General features: G+C 46.0%; 1 protein-coding gene across 12 annotated transcripts in view, besides 3 other annotated features; it reads left to right on the top strand.

The window, feature by feature from the left end:
• Nucleotides 1–24008, top strand: part of CSMD2 (CUB and Sushi multiple domains 2) — a 651845-nt gene that overhangs the window by 548457 nt on the left and 79380 nt on the right. For 10 of the 12 annotated variants that reach the window (XM_047443685.1, XM_047443656.1, XM_047443666.1 and 7 more), the window contains 6 exons: nt 411–480; nt 2766–2882; nt 6136–6345; nt 11916–12104; nt 14840–15017; nt 16376–16521. In XM_047443685.1, coding sequence (XP_047299641.1) covers nt 411–480; nt 2766–2882; nt 6136–6345; nt 11916–12104; nt 14840–15017; nt 16376–16521 — 910 coding nt within the window. Of the gene's footprint in view, nt 1–410; nt 481–2765; nt 2883–6135; nt 6346–11397; nt 11524–11915; nt 12105–14839; nt 15018–16375; nt 18000–24008 lie in introns of those variants that run through there. The other 2 variants (NM_052896.5, XM_017000192.2) reach the window with 2 other exon arrangements.
• Nucleotides 8923–9423: an enhancer, noted in NCBI's record as "H3K4me1 hESC enhancer chr1:34073563-34074063 (GRCh37/hg19 assembly coordinates)". NCBI's record gives its function as "activates a minimal SCP1, AML or CMV promoter by ChIP-STARR-seq in naive and primed H9 embryonic stem cells {active_cell/tissue: H9 hESC(naive and primed)}" and the evidence as "EXISTENCE:reporter gene assay evidence [ECO:0000049][PMID:30033119]".
• Nucleotides 9424–9924: an enhancer, noted in NCBI's record as "H3K4me1 hESC enhancer chr1:34073062-34073562 (GRCh37/hg19 assembly coordinates)". NCBI's record gives its function as "activates a minimal SCP1, AML or CMV promoter by ChIP-STARR-seq in naive H9 embryonic stem cells {active_cell/tissue: H9 hESC(naive)}" and the evidence as "EXISTENCE:reporter gene assay evidence [ECO:0000049][PMID:30033119]".
• Nucleotides 11202–12401: an enhancer, noted in NCBI's record as "BRD4-independent group 4 enhancer chr1:34070585-34071784 (GRCh37/hg19 assembly coordinates)". NCBI's record gives its function as "activates an origin of replication core promoter dependent on BRD2, P300/CBP, MED14 and CDK7 cofactors, and independent of BRD4, by STARR-seq in HCT116 cells {active_cell/tissue: HCT116}" and the evidence as "EXISTENCE:reporter gene assay evidence [ECO:0000049][PMID:35650434]".

Raw genomic sequence — 24008 nt, 5'->3', positions numbered from 1 at the left:
CCCGGGTACCATTATCCTCTCCTGGAGCTGTTCATGCAAAAGATAAACTCTGCTGACTTTAACAATTTGGCACAAGCCAACCTCCAATGTGTTCCTGCAAAGTTGGGTTTGATTCGGCTTTAGGGAAATTTAATTTCCCTTTGAAGGCCATCAGGGAATTTAGTAATTAAAGGACTCTCACAAGGAAACCTCTAATAATGAGAATTCTTTAGTAATCGTTGTTAATAATTGTCCTTCCCCAAATTCTCTCTCCCTCTACCTCACTCCCATCCCACAGTGGATCTGTGTGTCTTTGTGTATCTTGTTCCTTAACATGAGGCCCCTGAACCAGACCCCTGTACAGCCCCTGGTTGTACATACAATTGTGCCCACGGGGACAGCTAGCCCATCCCTGTTCCTGATTCCTCCAGGGCCACGCCCACATCTCCTGCATGCCCGGAACAGTGCGGCGATGGAACTACCCTCCTCCACTCTGTATTGGTAAGACAGCCCAGACTTTACAATTCATTCCAACCAATTTTCTCTCAGGGATCTTAGCTCAGTAGTGTATCATTGAGTTCAAGTTCAAATCAGAAGAAAGTTTGATATTCTGGATTTGTTCCAAGTCAGTCATTTTAAACTGATGTTTTTATAATCTCTAACTCCCATTTAATGCAGTCATCACTTTTGGAAACTCTGCCCCACCAAATGAAAAGTTACAGGAGGTCTGCCCATTTGAAAACATGATGATGACCGTTCTGGCTCTAGTTAATCAACCAGATCCCAGATGGAATTTCTAGGCACTTTGGGCTTCCCCCGTGACTTCTTGTGGGACAGACAGACAAATCTAATAAAGAAATGATGAGGTTGGCCGGGTGCAGTGGCTCATGCCTGTAATCCCAGCACTTTGGGAGGCCGAGTCAGGCGGATCACTTGAAGTCAGGAGTTCGAGACCAGCCTGGCCAACATGGTGAAACCCCATCTCTACTAAAAATACAAAAATTAGGCAGATGTGGTGGCACACACTTGTAATCTCAGCTACTCAGGAGGCTGAGGCAGGAGAATCACTTGAACCCAGGAGGCGGAGGTTGCAGTGAGCTGAGACTGCACCACTGTACTCCAGCCTGGGTGATAGAGCACAACTCCGTCCCAAAAAAAAAACGAAAGACAAGAAAAAAGGAAAAGAAATGCTGAGGGCTACGTGCGAAACAAGGACTTGGCTTCGTCCCTTACCCTGTGCTACGGCAGTGATGAGCAGATCAGCAGACACAAGAAAAGACAGCATCTCCCCTTCAGAAGCTTCTGGTCCAGTTAGGCAAAGAAGAAAGGCACATTTATTTAATATCTACTATATGCTAGGCATGGAGCTTCATATTTCCTCAGATCAGCCCTGCAGGGGAGGTACCATTACCCTCAATTTGCAAACAGGAAATCTCAGTCTTTTAGGATTAAAAAGGAAGTGGCAGAGTCAGGAACGGAAACCTAAGGTTCTCTGGTGCCCAGTCGATTGTGAGGTGCCCCTCAAGGCTGACCTTGGGGCAGGGAGGTAAGGGAGTGACACTCAAGCACGATGGCATTTCTCTTCTGTGGTTTCACCACGGTGTAGGGCATAGGCATCTGTGGAGCAGGTCAGAAATGTGAACGGTCAGCCCAAGGCACTTTCCCCCATTAGAGACTACAAAGACCTTGCTATGGAAACCATTCATTTAACGGCAGCTGCTGTTCATTAGGGGTTTACAACATGTGCCAGCCTTGTCCCAAGTAAATGCAGTCCTTTCTGATATGACCTCACAACAACCCCATTAGAAGGGTGCTGTCACTAGTTCCATTTTACAGTTGTGGGAAACCGAGTTCTGGAGGGTTTTGAACTTGCCCACGGTCCCATCGGAAGTGAAGGTGGGATTGTGACACAGGCAGTCGAGGCTGGAGCCTACTCTGCACTGTTTTCGGGTCTGTTTGCCAAGCTGTCCTCTCCCCAGAAAGCACTTGCCTGGACCTGCCAATCCCTGTTCTATGATCCTTTCCCTGGGTCTCTAAGACTGGCTAGCCCCTTTCTGTTCACACAACCTTTTCCTAATAAGATGCAAAAGAAAAGAACTGATGTCAACTGACCAGACTGCAGGGGTGCCCCAGCCCTGCATCCTCAGATGACTCTGAATTCACCTTGATTGGCATATCAGATGTCCCTAAGCCCCTGGGTCACTCAGACAGCCTGGTGGTTGGCTCCTGTGGGATGCTGATCACCGTCACTTTTCTGAGGATGGGCTCGTGGTGAGCCTCCCCTGCCGCCCACCCTGCCCCCTGAAATATATATTTGAGAAGAGCCTGGCATGGTGCCGGGCACAGAGTGGGGACTTGATGCATGCCAGTCCCCTTCCTTCATCCTTTTTCTGCAGTCTTGAAAGAGTAGATTGGGCAGTGAGGAGAGGGAGATTTGGGGGATACGGTAAGAAATGGTTGGACTTCTTTTGGCACAGAACTTCCTCACTTTTCCTGGACATCCTCACCAGGGAACTGACCTGTGAAGGGCATGTTCAAGGTCAAGAGTCCATAACTTGGGTTTGTGGACTTTTAGGCTGTCCTAGAATGTACCTCCCTTCCTGAATGTACATATTGAATGTTGCCCGTGGGCTTAGTCTTTTAAGAAGATTCCTTTGGATTCTCAAGGGGCTATATGACTCATGAAAGCTTAAAAACTGCTGCTTGAAGGGAGCTTCCAAACATTGGCAGGGCCCTGTACACCCCTTGATGTTGTCCTGACCCTCTGTCTCATCTCATTGTCACAGCACAGTGTGGGGGAACAGTGGAGGAGATGGAGGGGGTGATCCTGAGCCCCGGCTTCCCAGGCAACTACCCCAGTAACATGGACTGCTCCTGGAAAATAGCACTGCCCGTGGGCTTTGGTAAGTCTCTGCAGCCCCCAGAGGAGACAGGCTTCAAGCCCAGACCCTTGAGCTTAAAACTACTGTCCGCCAAAATCTCTTAGCACAAACTTGGGCCAAGTCTGTTTAGTACTCTGCCTCTCTGTTTTCTCATCTGTTGACCTCTTGTACAATTGTGAAGACCAATTAAGAATGGCAGAGATTAACATATAGGGGGGAGAAAAATCTTAGGGGTTGCCATTATTATTATTTGAGCCATAAACTAAAATCCAGGAATGTGGAATGAGAAATTACTCGGATTATACCTAACTAACACTGTATCACTTGATATTAAAAATAAAAAATAAAAATAAATTACTCAGGGACTTAAAAAAAAAGGCGGGGGTGGGGCGGAAATCTGTCGTACAGAGACTGGACCTCAAGTTGTACTTTTAACCCCAGTGTCTAATTTATCATCCTAATTAAATTGAGCCAAATCAATGAGAAATCGAGTTTGCATTCTTCTTCGTATGCACATTCTAGCTGGCCTAGAGACTGGGAAGGTTGTTTTTTTGGTTTTGGGGGGTTATTTTTGTTTTGTTTTGTTTTTGGAGCTGGAGTATGCTAGGCATGGGAGGTTGTCAGGGTGTGGAGGACATCAGTGTGGGTACAAAATGTAATTGCTGGTGATCCACATATTATGCACTGGGAATATCATTTAACCCAAATGTCTCTGTTGAAGGGATGAGGGCTTTGTGCTGACATGGAACTGATGGGCCGTACGCACGGGTCATCTTGCCCAAGCCATTGCACTGCTTCTAGGAATGAAATGTCCCAAGGGGATTATGCCTGCATAGCCCTGAATGCCAGTCTGTGAGCCTCAGAAATGAAGATCTCCCATTTTATCCTTCATTATTCAGCCTGGAGTGTGATTAGAGATTAGGGAAGGGGCTTTTGGGAGAAAGCAGTCTAACTGGCCTTCTCTAAATCCGGTTGGAGGGGAGGAGAGAGCTTGGTGGCCCTCTGAAAGATGTTATTTTCTGTTCAGTACCATCTTCTGAAGGAAACTGGGTGTTCAGTACCATCTTCTGAAGGAAACTGGGAGCAAAGCGATGACGCCCTCGGCAGTCTTAGGAGACTCCAGACTTTGAGACATTAAGAGGATCTGGGAGACCCTGTACCTCTGCATCCAGTCTTGAGGCAGAACCAAGATGATAGAAGGTGGGGAGGGCAACATCCAAAGGCAAACAGAAGTTTGAATGAGGTGGCTTTCCCTGTAAGTCCTTATGTTCAGCCACCATTTTCACCTCTAAATTCTGGGTGCTAATTCAGGTTTCAGGGAAGAAGCTACTGCTGGGTCCAGTTGCAAAGGCCCGGGATCCCTTGCTTTCAAGTTAATGTTGGATTCTGCCGAGGTCCCTAACTTGGTACCTGGTCTCAGCGTGTAAAGAGCTGCTGCAGCTACATGCTGCTCCACTAGATGGCGGTCACAGTCCAGTTCTTTCCTTGGAGTTCAAGTCAGAAATTCCGCCATCCTTAAAGAGCCCCTTCTGTGGGCCTGCAGCCCGCAGGGCTCCTATATGAGGGGACGATGCCTGGGCAGTGGAATGGAAAGCACAGGCTCCTCAGATAATGTATACAAAGATGTCATCACAGCCTAACACGGTGAAAACCCGTCTCTACTAAAATACAAAAAATTAGCTGGGCCTGGTGGCGGGTGCCTGTAGTCCCAGCTACTTGGGAGGCTGAGGCAGGAGAATGGTGTGAACCCGGGAGGCGGAGCTTGCAGTGAGCCAAGATCGTGCCACTGCACTCCAGCCCGGGCGACCGAACAAGACTCTGTCTCAAAAAAAAAAAAAAAAACCATCACAAAATTATCTGCAACTTGGAAACAATCTGCATGTTCATGAGTTGGGGAGTGAACTGTATGGTTGGATAATTCATAAAATGGAATTAACATGCAGTTAAAATGAATGAACTATATTTTTGTATATTAACATGGATAGACCTTGAAAAACACAATATTATGTAAAAAACTGTATGTACAGTATAATATCATTTATGTAAATCTTGAAAACACATAAACCCAGATACATATTTAAGAATCCAAAACCATGAACTGGAAGGATAGCTTCCAAATTCATGTGATTGCTTCTGTGGAGGGCAGGAAAGGAATGGAACAGGGCAGGAGATGAAAGATCTTCAACATTAAGTGTCGAGTCTTTATTTTATTCTTTAAATGATCAGATGCAAAAAGAATTATACTCGTGCTTATTCTGAGCTTATTTGATAGCACAGATAAGCCAATTTTAAAAATGAAAATCCATCTATAATCTCATCGTGCAGCGATAATCACTAATGGCTTAGTCTCCCAGCGTTACCATGTAAGTCTCATGAAGACAAGGACCTTCTTGATCTTGCTCATCCTGTACAATGCCTAGCACAGCCCTGATGTACAGCAAATGCCCAGCAAATATTCCTAGCAGGCAAATTAATATTCTTCCATGTTTTATAATACAAAAATTAGAATTGTATACAGCATACTATTTGTCATCTGATTTTTACAATTATCAATGCAATATGGGCTTTTTCCTATGCTCAGTAAATATATTTCTTCAATAACATTTTCCATGGTGATCTAATTTTGAAAAATCTTATCAGTAAACAAACATAAATGTTCCCACCTTCGTTCTTGAAAGAGTATATTACTATGTACATTAAGAACTTAATTAGATTTATTTAACCTGTCAGGTTGCTAGAATGTCTTGATTAACTCACTAAGATCCCAAAGTAGAAACTTTATTTGGCTTCTTTATGGAACAGAGGGGACAATGTATACTTCTAAGCCCTACGTTTCTGAATTATCATAAGAGTTCTAGAAAACAGCAGTATTGAAGGTCTTGTCTTTTGATTAAGTATTGGGGGTGTTATTTTTAAATGAAAAGTTTATTCTAGCAAAACTATCTTTATGCTGATATTGGACATATGAATCATAAATTTAAACAAGTGTTGACCCTGAACTTTGTTTTCAACAAAATAAAATGAACTCCAGTGGAGCTCTGAAATGACTGATGCCTTTATTTTTGAATGAATAATACACTTTTAAGTTCAGCCCTGTCAAAGACAAGAGACTTGGCTGGACGGGCAATTCCCAAAGCCAGTTCTAGGAGCCTTGGCTGGGTGGGAAATCAGTAGCAGGGACTCATGGCTCTGGCAGGAGCTGCTTTCATGAGGCAGCACACTTGAGGCAGGACTGTGTTGCTTTGGGCACTGTCTGCCTCTGTCTTGCTCCCAGGAGCTCACATCCAGTTCCTGAACTTCTCCACCGAGCCCAACCACGACTACATAGAAATCCGGAATGGCCCCTATGAGACCAGCCGCATGATGGGAAGATTCAGTGGAAGCGAGCTTCCAAGCTCCCTCCTCTCCACGTCCCACGAGACCACCGTGTATTTCCACAGCGACCACTCCCAGAATCGGCCAGGATTCAAGCTGGAGTATCAGGGTAAGGACAAGGAGCACCGCCTTTGCTTCTCTGTCTATCTCCATCTCTTGCCCCAGCCACCCACCTTCCCAGCCTTCCATGTGGGGGAAAACAGAACACCATAAGGGGTGGGTTGCGGTGGCAGGCCCAGTCAGGGAAGCTTCCTTTTGGTGGCAGATCTCTCCGGACCCCATTTGTCAGCTTAAGTTCTCCCACAGCCTTTTCAAGAGTGGCAGGCCCAACAGCACCCTCTGAGGCTCCCACTCTGTACAGCTGTCCCTGGGCAAGTGGCCCATCTGTGCCTTCTCAGGTGTCCCAAACTGTCCAGCCAGTCACTTCCCCTCGGGCTTGATAAACTGAATTACTTCCCCAGGGTCCTTCCCTGCACATCAAGCCCAATTACTCTCAGCAAAGCTCTTCCTATGACAGGATGGAGGATTCTAGTAACAGTCCCAAGGGCACCTCTAAGCCTTGCACAAGGAGCAGGTTTTCCTGTGAGGCCCAACCACACTCACCACAGCTCCACCTCTCTGAAGTGGGATCCCGTGACCGGCCCCACTCATTCTGGGACATTCCCTGGAAAGAGCCCCATCTACACTCAGGTTCCCCTGTGTTGTAGACCATCCATCACCTGTGGATGTGGAGATTGTGCCCAACCTGTGCAGCTGTACATGGTCCTGAGTAAGCCCAACCTCGCCCTTGGATGCTTCCCTTATTGTGACTGACCGAAGCATTTGTTCTAATCCCTTTCCCAGATTCTTCCACTGAATTTTTAAAAATATTTTTAGATTTTTTTTCCAATACTAATTCATGTTTGTAAAAAAAAAAAAAAAAATCTAAACACTGTAGATAATTTTGTGAGCACATTGTGTTAGCTCAGGCTGCTGTAACAAAATACCATAAGCCAAGTGCCTTACAAACAGCAGAAATTTATTTCTCACAGTTCTGAGGGCTAGGAAGTCCAAGATCACAGTGCCAGCAGATTCCGTGTCTGGTGAAGACCCACTTTCTAGTTCATAGACAGTATCTTCTCACTGCGTCCTCACATGGTGGAAGGGGCAAAAGAGCTCTCTCAGGCCTCTTTTATAAGGGAACTAATCCCATTTAGGAGGGTGGGCCACCAAATGCCCTGCCTCCAAATACCCTCACATGAGGGATTAGGTTTCAACATAGGGATTTGATGGGACAGAAATATTCAGGCCCTAACACCCGTCACAGGAAGTCAAAATCCTCCCATAATCCCATCCTGTCACTACCCTATGCAGAGATACACACTTTCAACAATTCAATATGTATTCCCCGCTTTTCTCGGTATATATATTGCTGTAGCTATATTTTTAGCCAAAATTGGATCGTACTATAGTTTTCCAATTTTGTTTTTTAAAGTTAATTTTTAATTACACAAACAATTTACAAACATATTTATCTTTTAAAAAAAGAAAAATACAAGAAAGAAATTAAAACCTTACAAGTAAGGCCAAAGCTCTCTTTGTCTATAGCCTCCAAACCCAGGATTATTCTCCAGAAACGGCTACTATTGTTTAGTTGTGACCTTTCCAGGCCTGGATATATGTATGCTACATGTACCTGTGAAAAATATGTAACATTTTATAAAATTTTTTGACCACGTTTTCTATATAAATAGTACCATCCTATATGCAGCTTTCTGAGAGTTGACTTCTTTATTCTGGAAATAATATGGTGGGGATGGAGCTCCTCCCTTGCCAGAGAAGAATACTGAGGGGGTACTGGGCTTCTCATTTAGGGAAAGCCTTAAAGGGCATCCCACGAGGTGGGTGCAACTGAATCAGTTCTGCAGGAGACTTCAGGGTTCCGGGGTCCATCTCAGGGAAAGCTTTGGTAAGTGCGGCTGGGCTTGTCATCTAGAGGGAGCCTCAGGAGAAGCTGGGCCTTGCACCCAGACAGAGCCACTTCACTGGTGTTAGCACAGCTGCCACACCCAGGGAAGGTGTGTGCAGGCTCATCACAGAGGCCAGCCTTGCCCAAGGATGTCTGTGCCTATTATCTGGGAGGTGTGTACCTGTCAAACAGGTCATGACGCGTCGGATGGCCGTGATGTCACAGGAGGGACTTGGTCCCAAATATGTCCTCTCAGAGACAGATGCAACGCCTTCCCCCAAGGCTTTCCTGTGTCTTAGTTTGTTAGGGCTGCCATAAGAAAGTACCACAAACTGGGTGGCTTAAACAACGGAAACTTACTGTCCAATGGCTCTGGGGCTGGATGGTCAAGATCAAGGTGTCAGCAGAGTTGGTTCCTTCTGAGGCCCATGAGGGAGACTCTGTCCGGGCCCCTCCCCTGGCTTCTGGTAGTTCATGACAATCTTGGCATTCTCAGCTCTTAGAAGTATCACCCCGACCTCTGGCTTCATCTTCACATGGTGCTCTTCATGTGCCTCTGTCTCCAAATTCCCACCTTCTATAAAGACACCAGTCATATTGGATCAGAGCCCACCCTAGTGACCTCATTTTAATTTCCATAAGTTTGGTAAAGATCCTGTCTATTTCCCATAAGGTCATATTCACAAGGAGTGAAGTCTTCAGCATATGAATTTTGGGAGACATATTTCAGCCCCTTGCACCCCTCCCAGGCCCAAGTGCTCTCTCCCTGAGACCTTCCTTCTCGGATAAATATAAGGAATGGCAGTGCCACCATTGTGCCAGGGACAGCTGCCCTGGGCCCACCCCGTGCACTGTGCCTTCACCCTAGACAATGGGCACGGTCCTGCCACTGAATCCCTGTGATGGGACCAGCCACTCGCTGTGCTCCCCGTGTGATGAGCCCACTTGTCCTTGTAAAGGTTGTGCCTGTGTGACCGCCTCAGATTCTCCATTGACTCCCTCGACAGAAGAGGCCTAACTACCCCCACAGAGCCCTGGCCTTGGGCTCACTCGCCCCTGATTCCCCAGCCCCCATCTTTGGAAATGCTCCCACTATGGCCACCCTGCACAAGGGGCCCCGCTGTCCCCCTGAGGTTTCCTGGACGACAAGCCAACATTCGGGACTAGTGTCCCTCCCTGGGATGGGCCTGTCTCTCCCACTGAGGTTTGCAGCCTCCACAGGCCCAGTCCTCCTCTGATAACTTTCCCTGCGTAGGGAGGCCAGGGGGCAGCGAGTTGCCTTCAGACACCCAGCTCCTCCACCAGGAGTTGGCCCAACATGTGAGAGGCACAGCGACATCCAATGGGGCTTCCACCCTATAATGGGCCCCCTCCTCCCACAAGCATGTGACCTTCAGGACTTGCCTGGATGTTCCCCTTCAGTCCCAGGCACAGCCACTCCCTCAGCGTTCACCTGTCTGCCACAGTCCCAAGGACTCCTGTGGAGCCACACATGGTGCCGGGGCACCTGCTCCCCTCAGACTTGGGCTCCACCCCTATTAAGGCTTCTCGTTTGGGGCGATCCCAACCTCTTGGGCTAGGTTGCCTCTAGGGCCAGAGGCCTAAGTATTCCCACAGAGGCCTCATCATTTGTGATAGGCCCAAATAACTCTCCCTGACCATAAGCCCACACTCTCTGTTTACACCTTCCTCCGCCGTACGGAGCGGCACCTCGTAAGCAAGCTCTGACCACTCTCCCCAGGTTTTTCCTCTGGGGAAAAACCCAGCTTCAATGAACGAGCCATTTGTCCCCACTGAGGCTGTTTCTGTCAGACCCAGCTCTCTATGGCCCCTCGACTTTCCTTAGAAGTCCAACTCTTTACTCTTTCTCAAAATTCCTCCAACTGATACTCTGCACTTCCCATGCTAGGGTCTTCTTTTCTCTTCTTTAAGTAAAGATTCCCATCAAGTTCTTAGTAGCAGCATAAGCAACTCCTAGCCAGGCCTCCCGGTCCGACATGCTTAATGTGTTCCATGACAATTTCTCAGGAGGGTTCTGTTTATAAAGAACTTAGCAAAATGGCTAAGATGTACAATTGTCCCCAAATGCTAGGCATCATCATTATTAATGTTTTAAAATAATGGCATTTTGCTTGAAATTGTATCTACCTGATTATGGCACTTTGTTTGGAAGTGTGTTCCCACTGTCACCAGGTGTGTCCCTTTAGAACAAACCCACTTGCTTTCCTGAGGAGTCCTTCTTTGGGGAAGTTCATCCTTCCTCCTCTTAGGGTTTATTTCTGCCTTATATGGCCAACCTCTCCCTTTGAAGCTTCTTGCAGGGGAACAGGCTCTGAGGTTTCTCTCAGTGTTGAGGTACTCTCACTGAAGTTTCTGTCTTTTTGAAGAGCCTAGATCCTTCCACTGGAGATGATTCCTGTAGGAGAGGCCCAGCTGCTCTCATCAAGGCTGCTCCTGGCTTCCCACACACAGCCACTCCCTTCCTTCTCTCCCCGTCTCTGAGTCCACGTGGCTACCCTGAGCCTTTCTGTAAAGACCCAACCCATCCCATTGGGTTGCCTCCCTGGGCAAAAGGCCCCCTGCTTCCGCTGAGACTTTCGTTGCCAAACGGCCCAAACCCCCGTGCTGCAGGGCCAGGCCTGTCCTGGGGCTAAGCAGCCACCCCACCCATGTGGTTGCTCAGTTTTTGGCACACCCAATTACCTCAATGATTTCCCAGGGAAACCTGCCCAGTTCCTCCCCCTGAGACTTCCCTGTGAGGTACTGAATGGAAACATAACACAGCCACGTGAGTGCTCAGGAAATGTTATCTTCAAGATCCGCGTTATTGATGTTGTTATTACGTATGAGAAACACATGTACTTCTAAGAAGCATCTATCCAGTCCCAACTACTTCCACTGAGGATTCCCACTGTAGGAACGTTCTGTCTCCTCCCGCTGCCAATTTCCTGAGTGGAGTGGGCGCAATTACTGCCACGAAGGCTGTTCTGTGTCCTGTGGACCCAATTCATCAAAGGCCTTGCTCAGGAATCCCTCAGCAGCCTCTCCCCAATGGACTGGCCTCAGCTGCTTCCATGGAGGCATCTCCTGTGGAGTCAGGCCACCCACTCTCATGGAAACAGCTTCCCTGCCCTTTGGAGGGACTTGCTTTGTGACAGCCACACGTCCCTTAGCCCAGCTACTCCCTCTGAAAAGCTTCTCTCCTTGCCACAGATTTGACTTACTCCCACCAGATTTCTTCCTTCCTGAGAGGTTTTGATCTCTCGGAGTTGGAAAGAACCAACTCAACTCCTCCCGTCGCCGCTTCCTATGTCTGGGATCTTGATCCTGGTTGTGAAGGTTCAATGAGATAAGCAACATGAAAGGAGTTAGGCTGGTGCCTGGCCCCCAGTGGCACTCAGTGAATAGAGGTTCAATTGAGCAATGTCTTCCTTGAGCCTCCTTTTCCTACGGAATTACTAATAATAGATACTATTTACTGAGCTTTCACCATGTGCCAGTACTGTGGAAAGAGCTATGTATGTGTTATCCTACTTAGTCCTCAAAATAATCATTCTATACACAGGAAAACTGAGGCGTACACAAGTTAAATTACTTACCCAAAGCCAATGACTTGTACATGACAAAGGTCCATCTGAGTCCAAATCTTGAGGCTTCACCACTATGCTTTCTGCCGCTCCTATTTTCTGGTCAGAGAGAATAAAGTGACCTTTTCTCCGGATCTTTTCCAGCCTATGAACTTCAAGAGTGCCCAGACCCAGAGCCCTTTGCCAATGGCATTGTGAGGGGAGCTGGCTACAACGTGGGACAATCAGTGACCTTCGAGTGCCTCCCGGGGTATCAATTGACTGGCCACCCTGTCCTCACGTGTCAACATGGCACCAACCGGAACTGGGACCACCCCCTGCCCAAGTGTGAAGGTATGTCGCTCCCTCATCCCCAGCAGTTCTTCCTGGGGTACTCGTGGAGACTGGTCCAGAGCAATCCCATGTTCCACCTACCTGCTCTGTGGGATCTCCAGGGCTGGAGGTCCAGGCAAACTGTGGTCCATCCTGTTTTCACATGGTGTGGCCCAGCCTCTCCAGGGAGAGGGTCCTGGTGACAGGGCTCCGGGCCAGCACTAGGGAGGACCTGGAGGAGATGTGGGCCACAGCCAAGAGGAAGACACACCCAGCCCTTGGGAAGATCCACCCTGACAGACTGGAGGACTCCCATTGGAAGGGAAGGCTCCATGTGAGGGAGTGGGAGCCCAGTGGTATGCTGAGAGCTAGAGAGGTAGAGTTAATCCAGGCACCTGCCCAAAGGGAGAAGAGCATGAAGCCTCTTTATAAGAACTCTCTTGCTCCCCTCTTCATCTTCCCCCTCCCTGCTCCATTATACTCTCCTTCTACACAGGGCTGGAGAGACCTGAGTTGATCTATCAGGGAGCTGGAGGTGGCACTTTCTTGGGTCTTCTTCCTTACCCAGAACCAGGAAGGAAGGTGACCAAGAGCTTGTGCTGCCTCCACCCTCATCTGCACACTTCAGTTCCATTTGCCTTCCCTCTTCATTCTGGCATCCCATCATTTTCCTGGAGGAGTGGCAGAAATTTGTCTTGAAAAAGGAAGCCTTAGCAAGGGCAGTAATCCAGGAAAGAGTGCCCCAGCTCTAGGATCAGATCACCCCAGGCTCCAACTCAAACCCCTTTGCCTCTCTAAGCTTCAGGTTCTTCCTCAGTAAAGTGGGACTTCTCATCTTTATTTCACAAGAGCTGGAGGACTTCACAGATGGCTCACTCTCAGACTCAAACTCTCAGTTTAACTCTCGATGGAAAGAGGACCTTGTTTGCGAAACTGAGCCGTTCTGGTGTTGGAATGTAAAACCATGATTTCTAAAACTATTATAGCCTCAGTTAGTTTTTCAGATTTTCAGAGCTCTGCTCTGCGTAACCAGTTGGTCATTCCGCAATTGTTGGCCCATCACGTGCTGTGCAACAAGCCTCATCCTGGGCTTTCTTCCATTCTCACACCTTGTTTGTCTTTTTGTGGCATCACAGGAGAGAGAAAAGAGCAGCGCTTTCTCAGTCTGCTAGCTTGAGCCAGAAGCTGTTCTTCCTCCTCAGAAGCCTTCTTCCCTTGGCTTCTCTGACACCATACTCTCTTGCTTTCTCCCATGTCCCTAATGGCAAATTTTAAGCCCCTTAATATAGCACACATGACCCTTAGGTTAGGGCCTAGTCCCTGCTGACCTCCCATATTCTCCAGTCTTGCAGATTTTATGTTCCAGCCTAAGCTGAAATACTTTGTTTTCCAATGTGCCATGTTTTCTTGCCTCTGGGTCTTAGCATATGTTGTTCCTTTCCCATACAGCATTCCTCTCTCTTACCTTGCCTACTTAACCCTAGTCATCCCTTAGGTCTGAGTATAAATATGAATTCTAGAAGGAGTCCTTTCTTACTCTCACAAAACCAGATGCAGGGCTCCCCCAAACACCCCCGTGGCATTCATGATGATGACATGGTCCAGCCTGTGCTACAGATGCTGGTGTGTTTGGCTGTGTCCCAGTGGTGTGTGTGCCTGGGACAGAACTAGAGTACCTTGTTCCCCACTGTCTCCCAGGCCATGGCTGGCACCCAGGAGATATTCAGCTTATGTAGCAGGGATGGCGTGTACCTGTGCACCACTTTCAGGATGTACGTGCATTCACAGGACCCCTGGCCTCTGCTTGGAATCTGTTGGGATTCTCTCTCCTCAGTCTGGTCTGCCCCAACCAGATGTCTGCTTGATGCCCCATGTCAGCTACAACACTCATTATTCTGGACCATGGTGTTTGGGGATTTTTGTCCACCATCCCCATCTATTTTCCTCCATGGTGACTGATTCTGAATACCATGAAGATGTCAAAGTCTTTTCATCCTCCTGCCTGAGGCCTAAATCAGTGAGACTAAAATTGAGTATTGCTTTTGGGGAACAGGAAGATAAGGAGAGAGGATCTTATCTACATAGCAAATGCGTCCTCTTCCAGGGCCTGGGCTGAACATTTTGCCTGCATCGTTTCACCTCATCACCACCACAATCCTATGGGGGAGGTATTCTTAGTTCCATTTTACAGGTGAGGAAATGGAGACTCAGGGAGGCTAAACTACTTATCTAAGACTATCTGCTCAATACATCGTTCAGCTATGATTTGAACCCAACCTTAGCCTCACCCCAGGAACCCTCAACTCGAAGTCTAGACCACAAGTACCACTCTAGAAAGAGCAGATCAAAGAGGAAGAAAGAAAGACTTTCCTAATTTCTTAGCTCTTCCCAGCAAAAGCACTGCAGCTCTGACCCTAACGTCTGCTCCCTCCCATTCCTGGGAAGGGAGAGGGGACAGCTTCAGGGCATCCTTTCTTCTTGGCAGTTCTCTTCATAAGAAAGAGAAAGAGGGAGGCTGAGGCAGACCCACAGAGGGGCCTGCAGTGATGATTGAGAGCCAGCCAGGGTGTTCTGTGTGGGGACTGGTGGGTAGAACCAGGTGCAGCCATCCTCAGCTTGGCCTCCCCTTCCGCATCCCACCCAACCTCCCTGACAGGATGATTAGTTCTGGGAGCTGGGATTTCCTCAGGAAGGCATCTGAATTCTCAGGTGGGTACCGAGGCCCTGCACTTACGTTTGTGTTCCCTCCCTGGCAGTCCCTTGTGGCGGGAACATCACTTCTTCCAACGGCACTGTGTACTCCCCGGGGTTCCCTAGCCCGTACTCCAGCTCCCAGGACTGTGTCTGGCTGATCACCGTGCCCATTGGCCATGGCGTCCGCCTCAACCTCAGCCTGCTGCAGACAGAGCCCTCTGGAGATTTCATCACCATCTGGTAGGCCAGGTGCCATGTCAACAGCCAATTAGAAAGGAGCATTACTGGGGTTCTACACTGGGTTACCAGTCAGTTACCTATTGGTTTAGAAAAACCAAGAGGTGAATGGTTTTTAAAGGCTGTCAGCCTCCTGGGTTTCAAATAAACATAGTGGAATGGGGCTCAGCTCCAACTGGCCATTATGGCTCCTTAAAGGGAGAGGAATGGGAGGGCAGTGGCTCCCAGCCTGCAACCCTGCCAGGGCCAGGGAAAGTACCAGTGGGTGTGTTAATGGGAGTAGGTGTGGGTACACAGACTTTCCTCGGTATTTCCAGAGTTCAAACCAACATTCTACATGTACCTGGGCTAAGCCACCCAGACTAATGGAAGAGATTTGAGGTGGAATTTTGTGATGTCCCGTTGGTCATCTGGTGCTGAGCCAGCACTTTCCAGCAGAACTTTCTGCAGTGATGGAACTGTTCTATGTCTATGCTGCCCAATATGGTAGCCACTGGCTACAGAGTACTTGGATATGACTGAGGGTCTGATTTTTAAATGTTATTTAATCTTGATAATTTAAATGTAAATAGCCATGTGTGGCTGGCAGTGGCTGAATTGGACAGCTCAGCTCTGAGTTATGTAGTTATATACAACAAGAGTTAATTTTACATTGGGAATACAAATTAGCATTTGATATGTGCAGTTTCCTGGACAGTTTCTTCCCAAACCACTGGATCTTTGGAAGAGCAAATAATTTTAAAATTCCTTTGTTTGGTGGTTACTGCCATTCTGAGAATCATCGGGGTTAGGGGAATTCTCTTCCAAAATTCCCAGGGCTTGGATAACTGTAACCAGACTGCCCTGGGTTAATTTCCAGCATGATTTCCAAGCAATGGCTAGGAACAGACAGGAGGGGTTAGATAAGGTTTCAGGGAAGAAATCTTTTGTCCCAAAAGGCATTGTGGGTATACTCTTTGCTTGGAAGACAAGGCAATGGAGCATGGAGCCGATATGCATAGCAGCAGGTTTTCACACCAGCTCCTCAGCCCTGTCCTAGTGCTGCCCCAGACTGAGAGGACCTGTGGTAAGACCCACACCCCTGCTCCATGGAGCCTAAATTTGCCCAGGAGCCCATTGGGCTGGTGAAGAATCAGGTGGATGAGGAATCAGTGTGAGCTTCACCAATTCTATCAACTATGTTGGGAGACCAAGTTGGGAACGGTTGGGAGAGGTATTTAGGGCATGGTGTGGGGAAGTGTTGGTACAAAAAGAATCATAGCCTCCCACTCCAGGTCTGTCTTAAGGCCACTGATGGCACCAAGTGGAGCAGGCAGCCATGGTGACTAGTGACATGCCAGGACCTTGTTTCCTGTGTACAGGGATGGGCCACAGCAAACAGCACCACGGCTCGGCGTCTTCACCCGGAGCATGGCCAAGAAAACAGTGCAGAGTTCATCCAACCAGGTCCTGCTCAAGTTCCACCGTGATGCAGCCACAGGGGGGATCTTCGCCATAGCTTTCTCCGGTCAGTATGGAAGCCTGGCCTGGTGGGAAGGGCCAGGCTTTCAAGTCAAGGCTGAGCTTGACTCCCGTCTCCACCATTTGCGGATCATGTGACCTTGAGTGAGTTGTATAACCTCTTGGAGCCTCAGTGTCTTCAGAGTTATGAGAATTAAATGTATTAGCCTATGTGAGAGCTCTCAGTGCAGGGTTCTGTAAATGCAAGTTTTCCTCCTATTCCACACTGCCAGGGCAGAGAGGCACAGAAGCCCAAACCTTGGTGCCAAGTCCACTCATTCACATCAACTCACTGGCTGGATCATCCCTATACCTGTGCCCCAGCTTATCCCTTAGCACTTTCTAGCGGGTTCTCCTTCTCCAAAGGGATCTAGGGCTTCTGCTGACCTCTCAAGGAGCACTGTGTTTTTGTGCACAAATGAAGATATTGTGATTTTGAGTAGGAAGAGTATGAACAATTCAGAGTAGGTATGCCTTTATTGGCAGCCTGTTTTCTTCTACAAGTCCCAAGTTAGGGATCTGGATATTTCCTCATTTTTATTATAGTGGAATTGCCTAGAGAAACTTATAGAATGTTCTCTGTGGACTTGTGCCTATCTATGGAATGATGCACATATTTGCAATTTACAGATCACTGCAGATATTTTAACCAGAAATCAGGAAAGCTGGATTTTACTCCCAGCTCCACCTTGGGCCAGCTGTGTAAAACCTTGCACAGGTCCCTTCCCCACTTGAGACTTCAGTTTCTTCACCTGTAGAATTACCGGCTTGGAGTTTGTGACCTGTAAGAATTCTGTGAGGTAGTAAGGCAAATATTCTAACCCCCACTTTACAAATGAAGAAATAGGGCAAAGGAAGGCTCAAGTACTTGCCCAAAACCATGTGGATAGAACTGGAAACAGAACCCAGCCTCCGCAGTATCTGCTGCAGTATCTGCTACAGTATCTGCTCTGGTGTGACTATACAGTGTTATTACATCATGCGTGCACTTGCAGAAACACACTAAGACTGTGAAAGAGGTAGTGAAAGAAACAGGAAGCAACAGAGAGAAACAAGGATGTAAAGAACCTAAGCAGCTGTGACTGCCATTCCCAGGAGCTATCGTCCAGGGTGAGTGCAATGTGGGAATGAGACTCCGCCCTCTCCATCTGCTCAGTTCCCATGCCCCTCTCATTGGGCACACCTGTCGCTCCACTAATGAAATCCAGGCTTTAAGGCTCTGTCATTTTGACTTGTGACTTTCCCATAGAGTGATAAGAGTATGGACTTCAGAGTCACAGACGGGTTCAAACCTTGGCTCTGACACATGCAAGCTATGTAACTTTGTCTGTCATTTCACCCTTCTGAGCCTCAATGTTATTATGCACAAAATAGGAATCATATAAGTACCTAACCTCCTAAAGTTAAATGAAACAATGCTTGGAAATCCTTAGCTCCAGGCACAGAGTATAAAAGGTGATCAATAAATTATAGTTCTAATAGTCATCATTGTCATGATTATTTTTATTATATCTAGATATTGACAGGCTTGGTGTAAAGTTACCTTGGTGGTAGGCCAGGTCTCTTGTTCCTGTTCCTGAGCCTTCACCTGTACCAGAACCAGGCAAAGGAGGCTCAGCACAGCCCCAGGCCATCCTTATTTCCAAGTTCTTCTCAGCAAGGTCTTTCATTGAGAGTGCTTGCCTAAGGGCACAATGCTCCTTCTGCCTCTCAGATGAGACACAAGGCCCTTGCTATGGTGTAAATGCTTAGGCCCCCCTAGAATTCATATGCTGACATCCTAACCCCCAAGGTGATGGTATTAGGAGGTGGGGCCTTGGGAGGCAATTAGGTCAGACAACAGAGCCCTCATGAATGGGATTAGTGCCTTTATAAAAGAGACCCACAGAATCACCACACTGAAGCCTTCTCAGTGGAAAGAGCTAAGAAGCACAGGAAACACAGAGGCCGAGGTGGGCGGATCGCCTGAGGTGAGGAGTTCAAGACCAGCCTGACCAACATGGAGAAACCCTGTCTCTACTAAAAATACAAAATTAGATGGGCGTGGTGGCGCATGCCTGTAATCCCAGCTACTCAGGAGGCTGAGGCAGAAGAATCGGTTGAACCTGGGAGGCGGAGGTTGCAGTGAGCCAAGATCACGCCATTGCACTCCAGCCTGGGCAACAAGTGTGAAACTCCATCTCAAAAAAAAAAAAAAAAAAAAAAACACAGGAAACTCATTTGCTGCTTTTACCACATGAGGACACAGCATAAAGACAGCTGTCCATGAACCAGTAAGAAGGCCCATACCAGACATCAAAATTGCCAGTCCCTTGAACTTGGACTTCCCAGCCTCTAGAACTGTGATAAATAAATTTCTGTTGTTTAGAAGTCACCCAGTCTATGGTAATTTGTTACAGCAGCCTGAATGGATTAAGACAGCCATTCAGTCCCAGCTCAGACCAGAGCCCAAGGCTTCACTGACCACAGGAGCAGGCAAGGGTCTGGGGCAAGAGAGGAGGAACTGCTGTGCCCAGATCGGCAGGCTCAAGTGGGAGAGGCACTGGACTAGGGGATGAGTGAGCAAGAGAGGCACATTCCATGCCTCATAGAACTTTTGGTAAGTTGTGGAATATATCCTACATATAAAAATGTATGTAACATGTATGTGCAGTTTAAAGAGTAATAAAATGAACACCATCATTGAGCCTAAGAAAAAGAACACCTAAGCCTTTGAAGCTCTGTTCCTTCCTCAGCACATTCCCCTACCCTACCCTGAGAGTTAACCATGATCCTGTACTTTTGGTTAATATTCATTGCTTTTCTTTTTATTTTACTCCATATGTGAGTCTCCAAAAATATGTTGTTTAATTTTGCATGTTATTTCTGTTATGTAAAGACAATCATTCTATAAATGTTCTTCTGTGACCTGCTCTTCTCACTCAAAATTAAGTTTTTGAAATTCATGTTGATGCACGTGACTGCACTTAACTCATTTTTCAATGCTGTATGATTTCATTGCATGAAAATATAGCAATTTATTTAGTCTACTGTTAACACTTAAGTTGTTTCATTTCAAGCAATAAGAACATTGTTGCTTATTCCTTATTGTGAACATGTACAAGGGTTTCTCTTGAGTACATGTCTGTGTGGAGTTGTGAGGTTGTAAATATCCACATATTTAGTTTCACTAGGTAATGCTCAATTTATCTTAGAAGCAGTTATAACCATTTACACTCTTCCCAGCAACTGAAGTAGAGTTCCTTTTGCTGTACATCCTTGCAAACACTGGGTTTTAGCAGACTTTACATTTCTACCAGTCTGGTAGGTGCATGAGATGGCATTTCACTTGTATGCTTGTGATGAGGCAGAGCATCCTTTCCTGTGTTACTGAGTGTTCATGCTTCCTGCTCTGTGAAATGTCTGCTCCCCAGACAGCTTTCCTGCTCCAAGGAGAAAGAGATAATGAGTAACCAAGAGGACAAAATTTTTGCAAATTGTAACAAATGCTTCGAAAGACATAAAAGGATAAGATAGCAAACAAAAAGTTGTAGAATTCCATGCAAAGTAATTGTGGAAAACCTAAGAGAGGATATTCAAGATAAGAACTAAAGAAAAAAAAAGGAGCTAGACTTGCAAAAAGTGGACAGTGGAAGGGAGTGGGGGAAAGAATTTTTGCCTTTCTCCAGGCAAGCAGCCCTAAGGAACTTTCTTTTCATATGAGGATCAATAAGAAAAAGGAAAAATACCTTAAGGAGACCTGTGAAAGATTTTATAACATTAAAAGTTAGAACATGAAGTTTGAATTACAGAGAAAAATGCCCTTGAAAAAAAAACATGGTTTAGGAACTAGAAGTAATAGAAATAAATTTTGGGAAGCATCTTCTTCTAATATAAGTCTAGATAACATGGACTCCAAATAACAGGTGAAATGTTCAGACAGCACACAAATGAAAAGAAAGATCTGGCCAAGAGATAAATAAAACGAAAGCTAAATCTCTTCCCTTCCCCACTTGAATAATTCAGTCCTAAAGCTGTGAGATGGGACAAAGCAAAGACATCTGATATGGTTTGGCTGTGTCCCCACCCAAATCTCATCTTGAATTGTAGTTCCCATAATCCCCATATGTCATGGGAGGGACCAGGTGGAGATAATTGAATCATGGGGGCCAGTTTCCTCCATCCTGTTCTCATGATAGTGAGTTAGTTCTCACGAGATCTGGTGGTTTTATAAGGGGCTTCCCTCTTCACTGGGCTCTCATTCTTCTCCTTCTTGCTGCCATGTGAAGAAAGACGTGTTTGCTTCCCCTTCTCCCATGATTGTAAATTTCCTAAGGCCTCCCCAGCCATGCTGAACTGTGAGTCAACTAAACCTCTTTCCTTTATAAAATACCCAATCTCAGGTATGTTTTTATTAGCAGTGTGAGAACAGACTAATACAGCATCCATACCTGTCAGGCAAGAGGGAGTGTGAACCATTGTAGCCCAGGCCGGGGTGTCAGGGGGAGCCACACTGATGGGCTGCCTGGCATGGGCAGCTGGAGCTTAGGTATCTGTACAGGGATGGAGCTGGCACAGGGTGTCAGAGCTCTGCGCAGGATGAGCAGACACCCATGTAGGGTATTGGAGCCCAAGCAGAGGAAGGCGGACAGCCACACAGAGAAGGTTCAGCCCAGGAAAGGAAGTCAGAGCCCAAGTAGGGTGAGGAGGGAGGGGTCAGCAGAAATGAAACCTTGGTTCCAGATGGGTGACTGATCGAATACGTTAATACGTCAAGGACAATAGAAGGCAGGTGTCTCACTGTCAGAGAAGAGGGTTAGAACTATGGATAGAGCAAAAATTATAATATACCCAATGGTGTTAAATTTGAATTGGATGTATCAGTGTGAGCTTATGGTTTTCAATATGTAGAGATATGGAAGAAAATAGTGTGTGAGTGGGGCATGTTTGAGTACATGTGTGTTTGCACATACATTTCTTAGCTCTTTCTACTGAGAAGGCTTCAGAGCAGTGATTCTTCAATAGTAATGAGCACATCTAGCACCAGATATTGGTTCCTAAATAACATTTTCCACTAAAATGGACCAGGGCTCCTTGAAGAAATGGCTAATCCCAAGCCTGGGGCAGAGAAAGTAGAAGACAAGCCAGGAATATCTTATGGCAGAAACTAAGGAAATGCCCAAGGCATGATGGAGACATGTCAAAGGGACATAGAATCTGGCTTGGAGGGGTTCTCATTGACCATATTGGGGATAATTTGAGAATCAAAGTTGTTTAAAATAGTAACAAATGGTGGTGACCTATTGAATCAAACAGAACACTATGTATATCCACGCAGACATTAAATAATTACAAGTTTTTATAAGGAAGGGGATATTTACATAACTTCAAACTACCCCTTCCCCCACCCCACTCCACACACAATAATAACAAAGGGAAAAAGAAGTGGAGAAGACTGGAAGACACGCCCACCTCATCAATAATGGGACAAATTGAAATCATACTCCAGGTGAGAGGATGCAGTGAGAAGAAGCCAGCATCACTTCCATGATTATCCAGTTGCAGAAGACAAGCTGAACATAATCAGGAGGAAACACCAGGCAAACCTAACTTGAGGGACGGACTGTCAACTCCCTGGCAGGCAGTCTTCAAAAATATAAAAGTTCTGAAGGTCAAGTAAAGACACTGGAACCATTCCAGACTAAAGGAGACCAAAGAGACATGACAATGAAATGCAACATGTGATTCTGAACTGGATCAATAAATTATCAAGGAATTTATCGGAAAAACAGGTGAAACTTGAATGAGATGTGAAGATTCGATGGCAGTAATGTGTCAGTGTTAATTTCCCAATGTTGATGGTTGTTTTGTGGTTATGTGAGAGAATGTGCTAGTTTGTAGGAAATACACTAAGATATTCTGGGGTTACAGGGCAACATGTTGGCGACTTACTTGCAAACGGTTCATGGAAAAAGATTTTTGTACTATACTTCCAACTTCTCCTATACCTTTGTGGCTGCTCCAAATTAAAACTTTTATTTCCAAGGGAAGCTAGATACTAAAAAATAGCAAGACTGAAAAGAAACAAAATAGCGTAATTTTCATCATCACAAGAATCAGCGAGAGCAGAAGCAACACTGTAGAAAAACAATGCAAAGATGAGGAGGACAAACCTGAAAATCTCAACCCAAATAGGGAGAAGGGCAGAGGCGTGAAAATGGTAGAGAGAAGATAGAAGATAAGAAATAAGGAGACCCAGTGGACAAAGAGCCAAGACACTGATAACAAGCATTCAGGAAGAAAGGAACCAAATGGAAATGATAAAACTTTTCTGAGATGAAAGAAAACCTGTGTATATAAAGGAGCTCTCTGGATACCAAGAGAAATAAAAAAGAGGCTGGCAATTTTTTCAACTTGTAAGGGTGAGGAGTAGGGGAAATCTACAAGAATCCAGGCTGAGAAAGTTACCTTAAATGAACCAAAATCAGACAATTCTCAGGCTAATTTTTGACGTTAGATTACAGAAAATGAAGGAGGTGATGTTTAAGGAGGAGAAAAAGTTAGGGGCTTCATGTGTGAATGCAAGAAATTGTTATTTGCAGGGATTCAAGAATTTACAATTATTGCCACTCTATCTCAAGCGGGGCTGTAACTCCAGGTGGCTGTAACTCCGGATGAACTCCAGATGAACCAGTAACTCAAAATAGAGAAGATGTATGAAAGAAAAGATAAAAATGGAGTGTTGATACTAGTTAAGCACAGACTTAAAGCTAAATAATAATGGAACATATGGATTCAAAGCAGTGCAAATACAATAATTCTTAAAAGACTACAAATAATTATTTTATATTAATAAATGTGCAAGAAGGTGGAAAAGGGATAAGAGAATGTCCTTATCTTTTGTGACGGTGGAATCAATATATATTATCCAATTGTTGACTTTGATCACTAGAGAAATAAGGATTTTGAACATATACTTTAGTCACTAATATATTTAAAATAAAGTATAGTACTTCTAAATCACTAAAAGAAAAAACATGTAAAACATAATCCAAATATAAAAGGCAGAGAACAAAGGAAACTATGTAGGGACAAAGATACAGCAAGCACAAAATAAGATACAGCAGTAGAATAAAATCATTCAATTGTAATGAAAAATGCAAATTTACTAAAATTCAATTTCCTGTTAAAAAACAAAGACTCTTAATGATCTGGTTTGGCTGTATCTCCACCCAAATCTCATCTTGAATTGTAACTCCCACAATTCCCATGTTGTGGGAAGAACCTGAATTATGGGGGTGGGTCTTTCCTGTGCTAGTCTCATGATAGTCAGTAAGTCTCACAAGATCTGATGGTTTTAAAAAATGGGAGTTTCCCTGCACAAGCTCTGTCTTGTCTTGTCTGCCACCATGTGAGACATGCCTTTCAACTTCCACCATGATTATGAGGCCTCCCCAGCCACGTGGAATTGTAAGTCCAATAAACCTCTTTCTTTTGTAAATTGCCCAGTCTCAG

Source organism: Homo sapiens, chromosome 1 (assembly GCF_000001405.40).
Source record: "Homo sapiens chromosome 1, GRCh38.p14 Primary Assembly".
Classification (NCBI taxonomy): Eukaryota; Metazoa; Chordata; class Mammalia; order Primates; family Hominidae; genus Homo; species Homo sapiens.
Note: the sequence above shows the minus strand (reverse complement) of the source record. Positions and strands in the feature narration are given on the sequence as shown.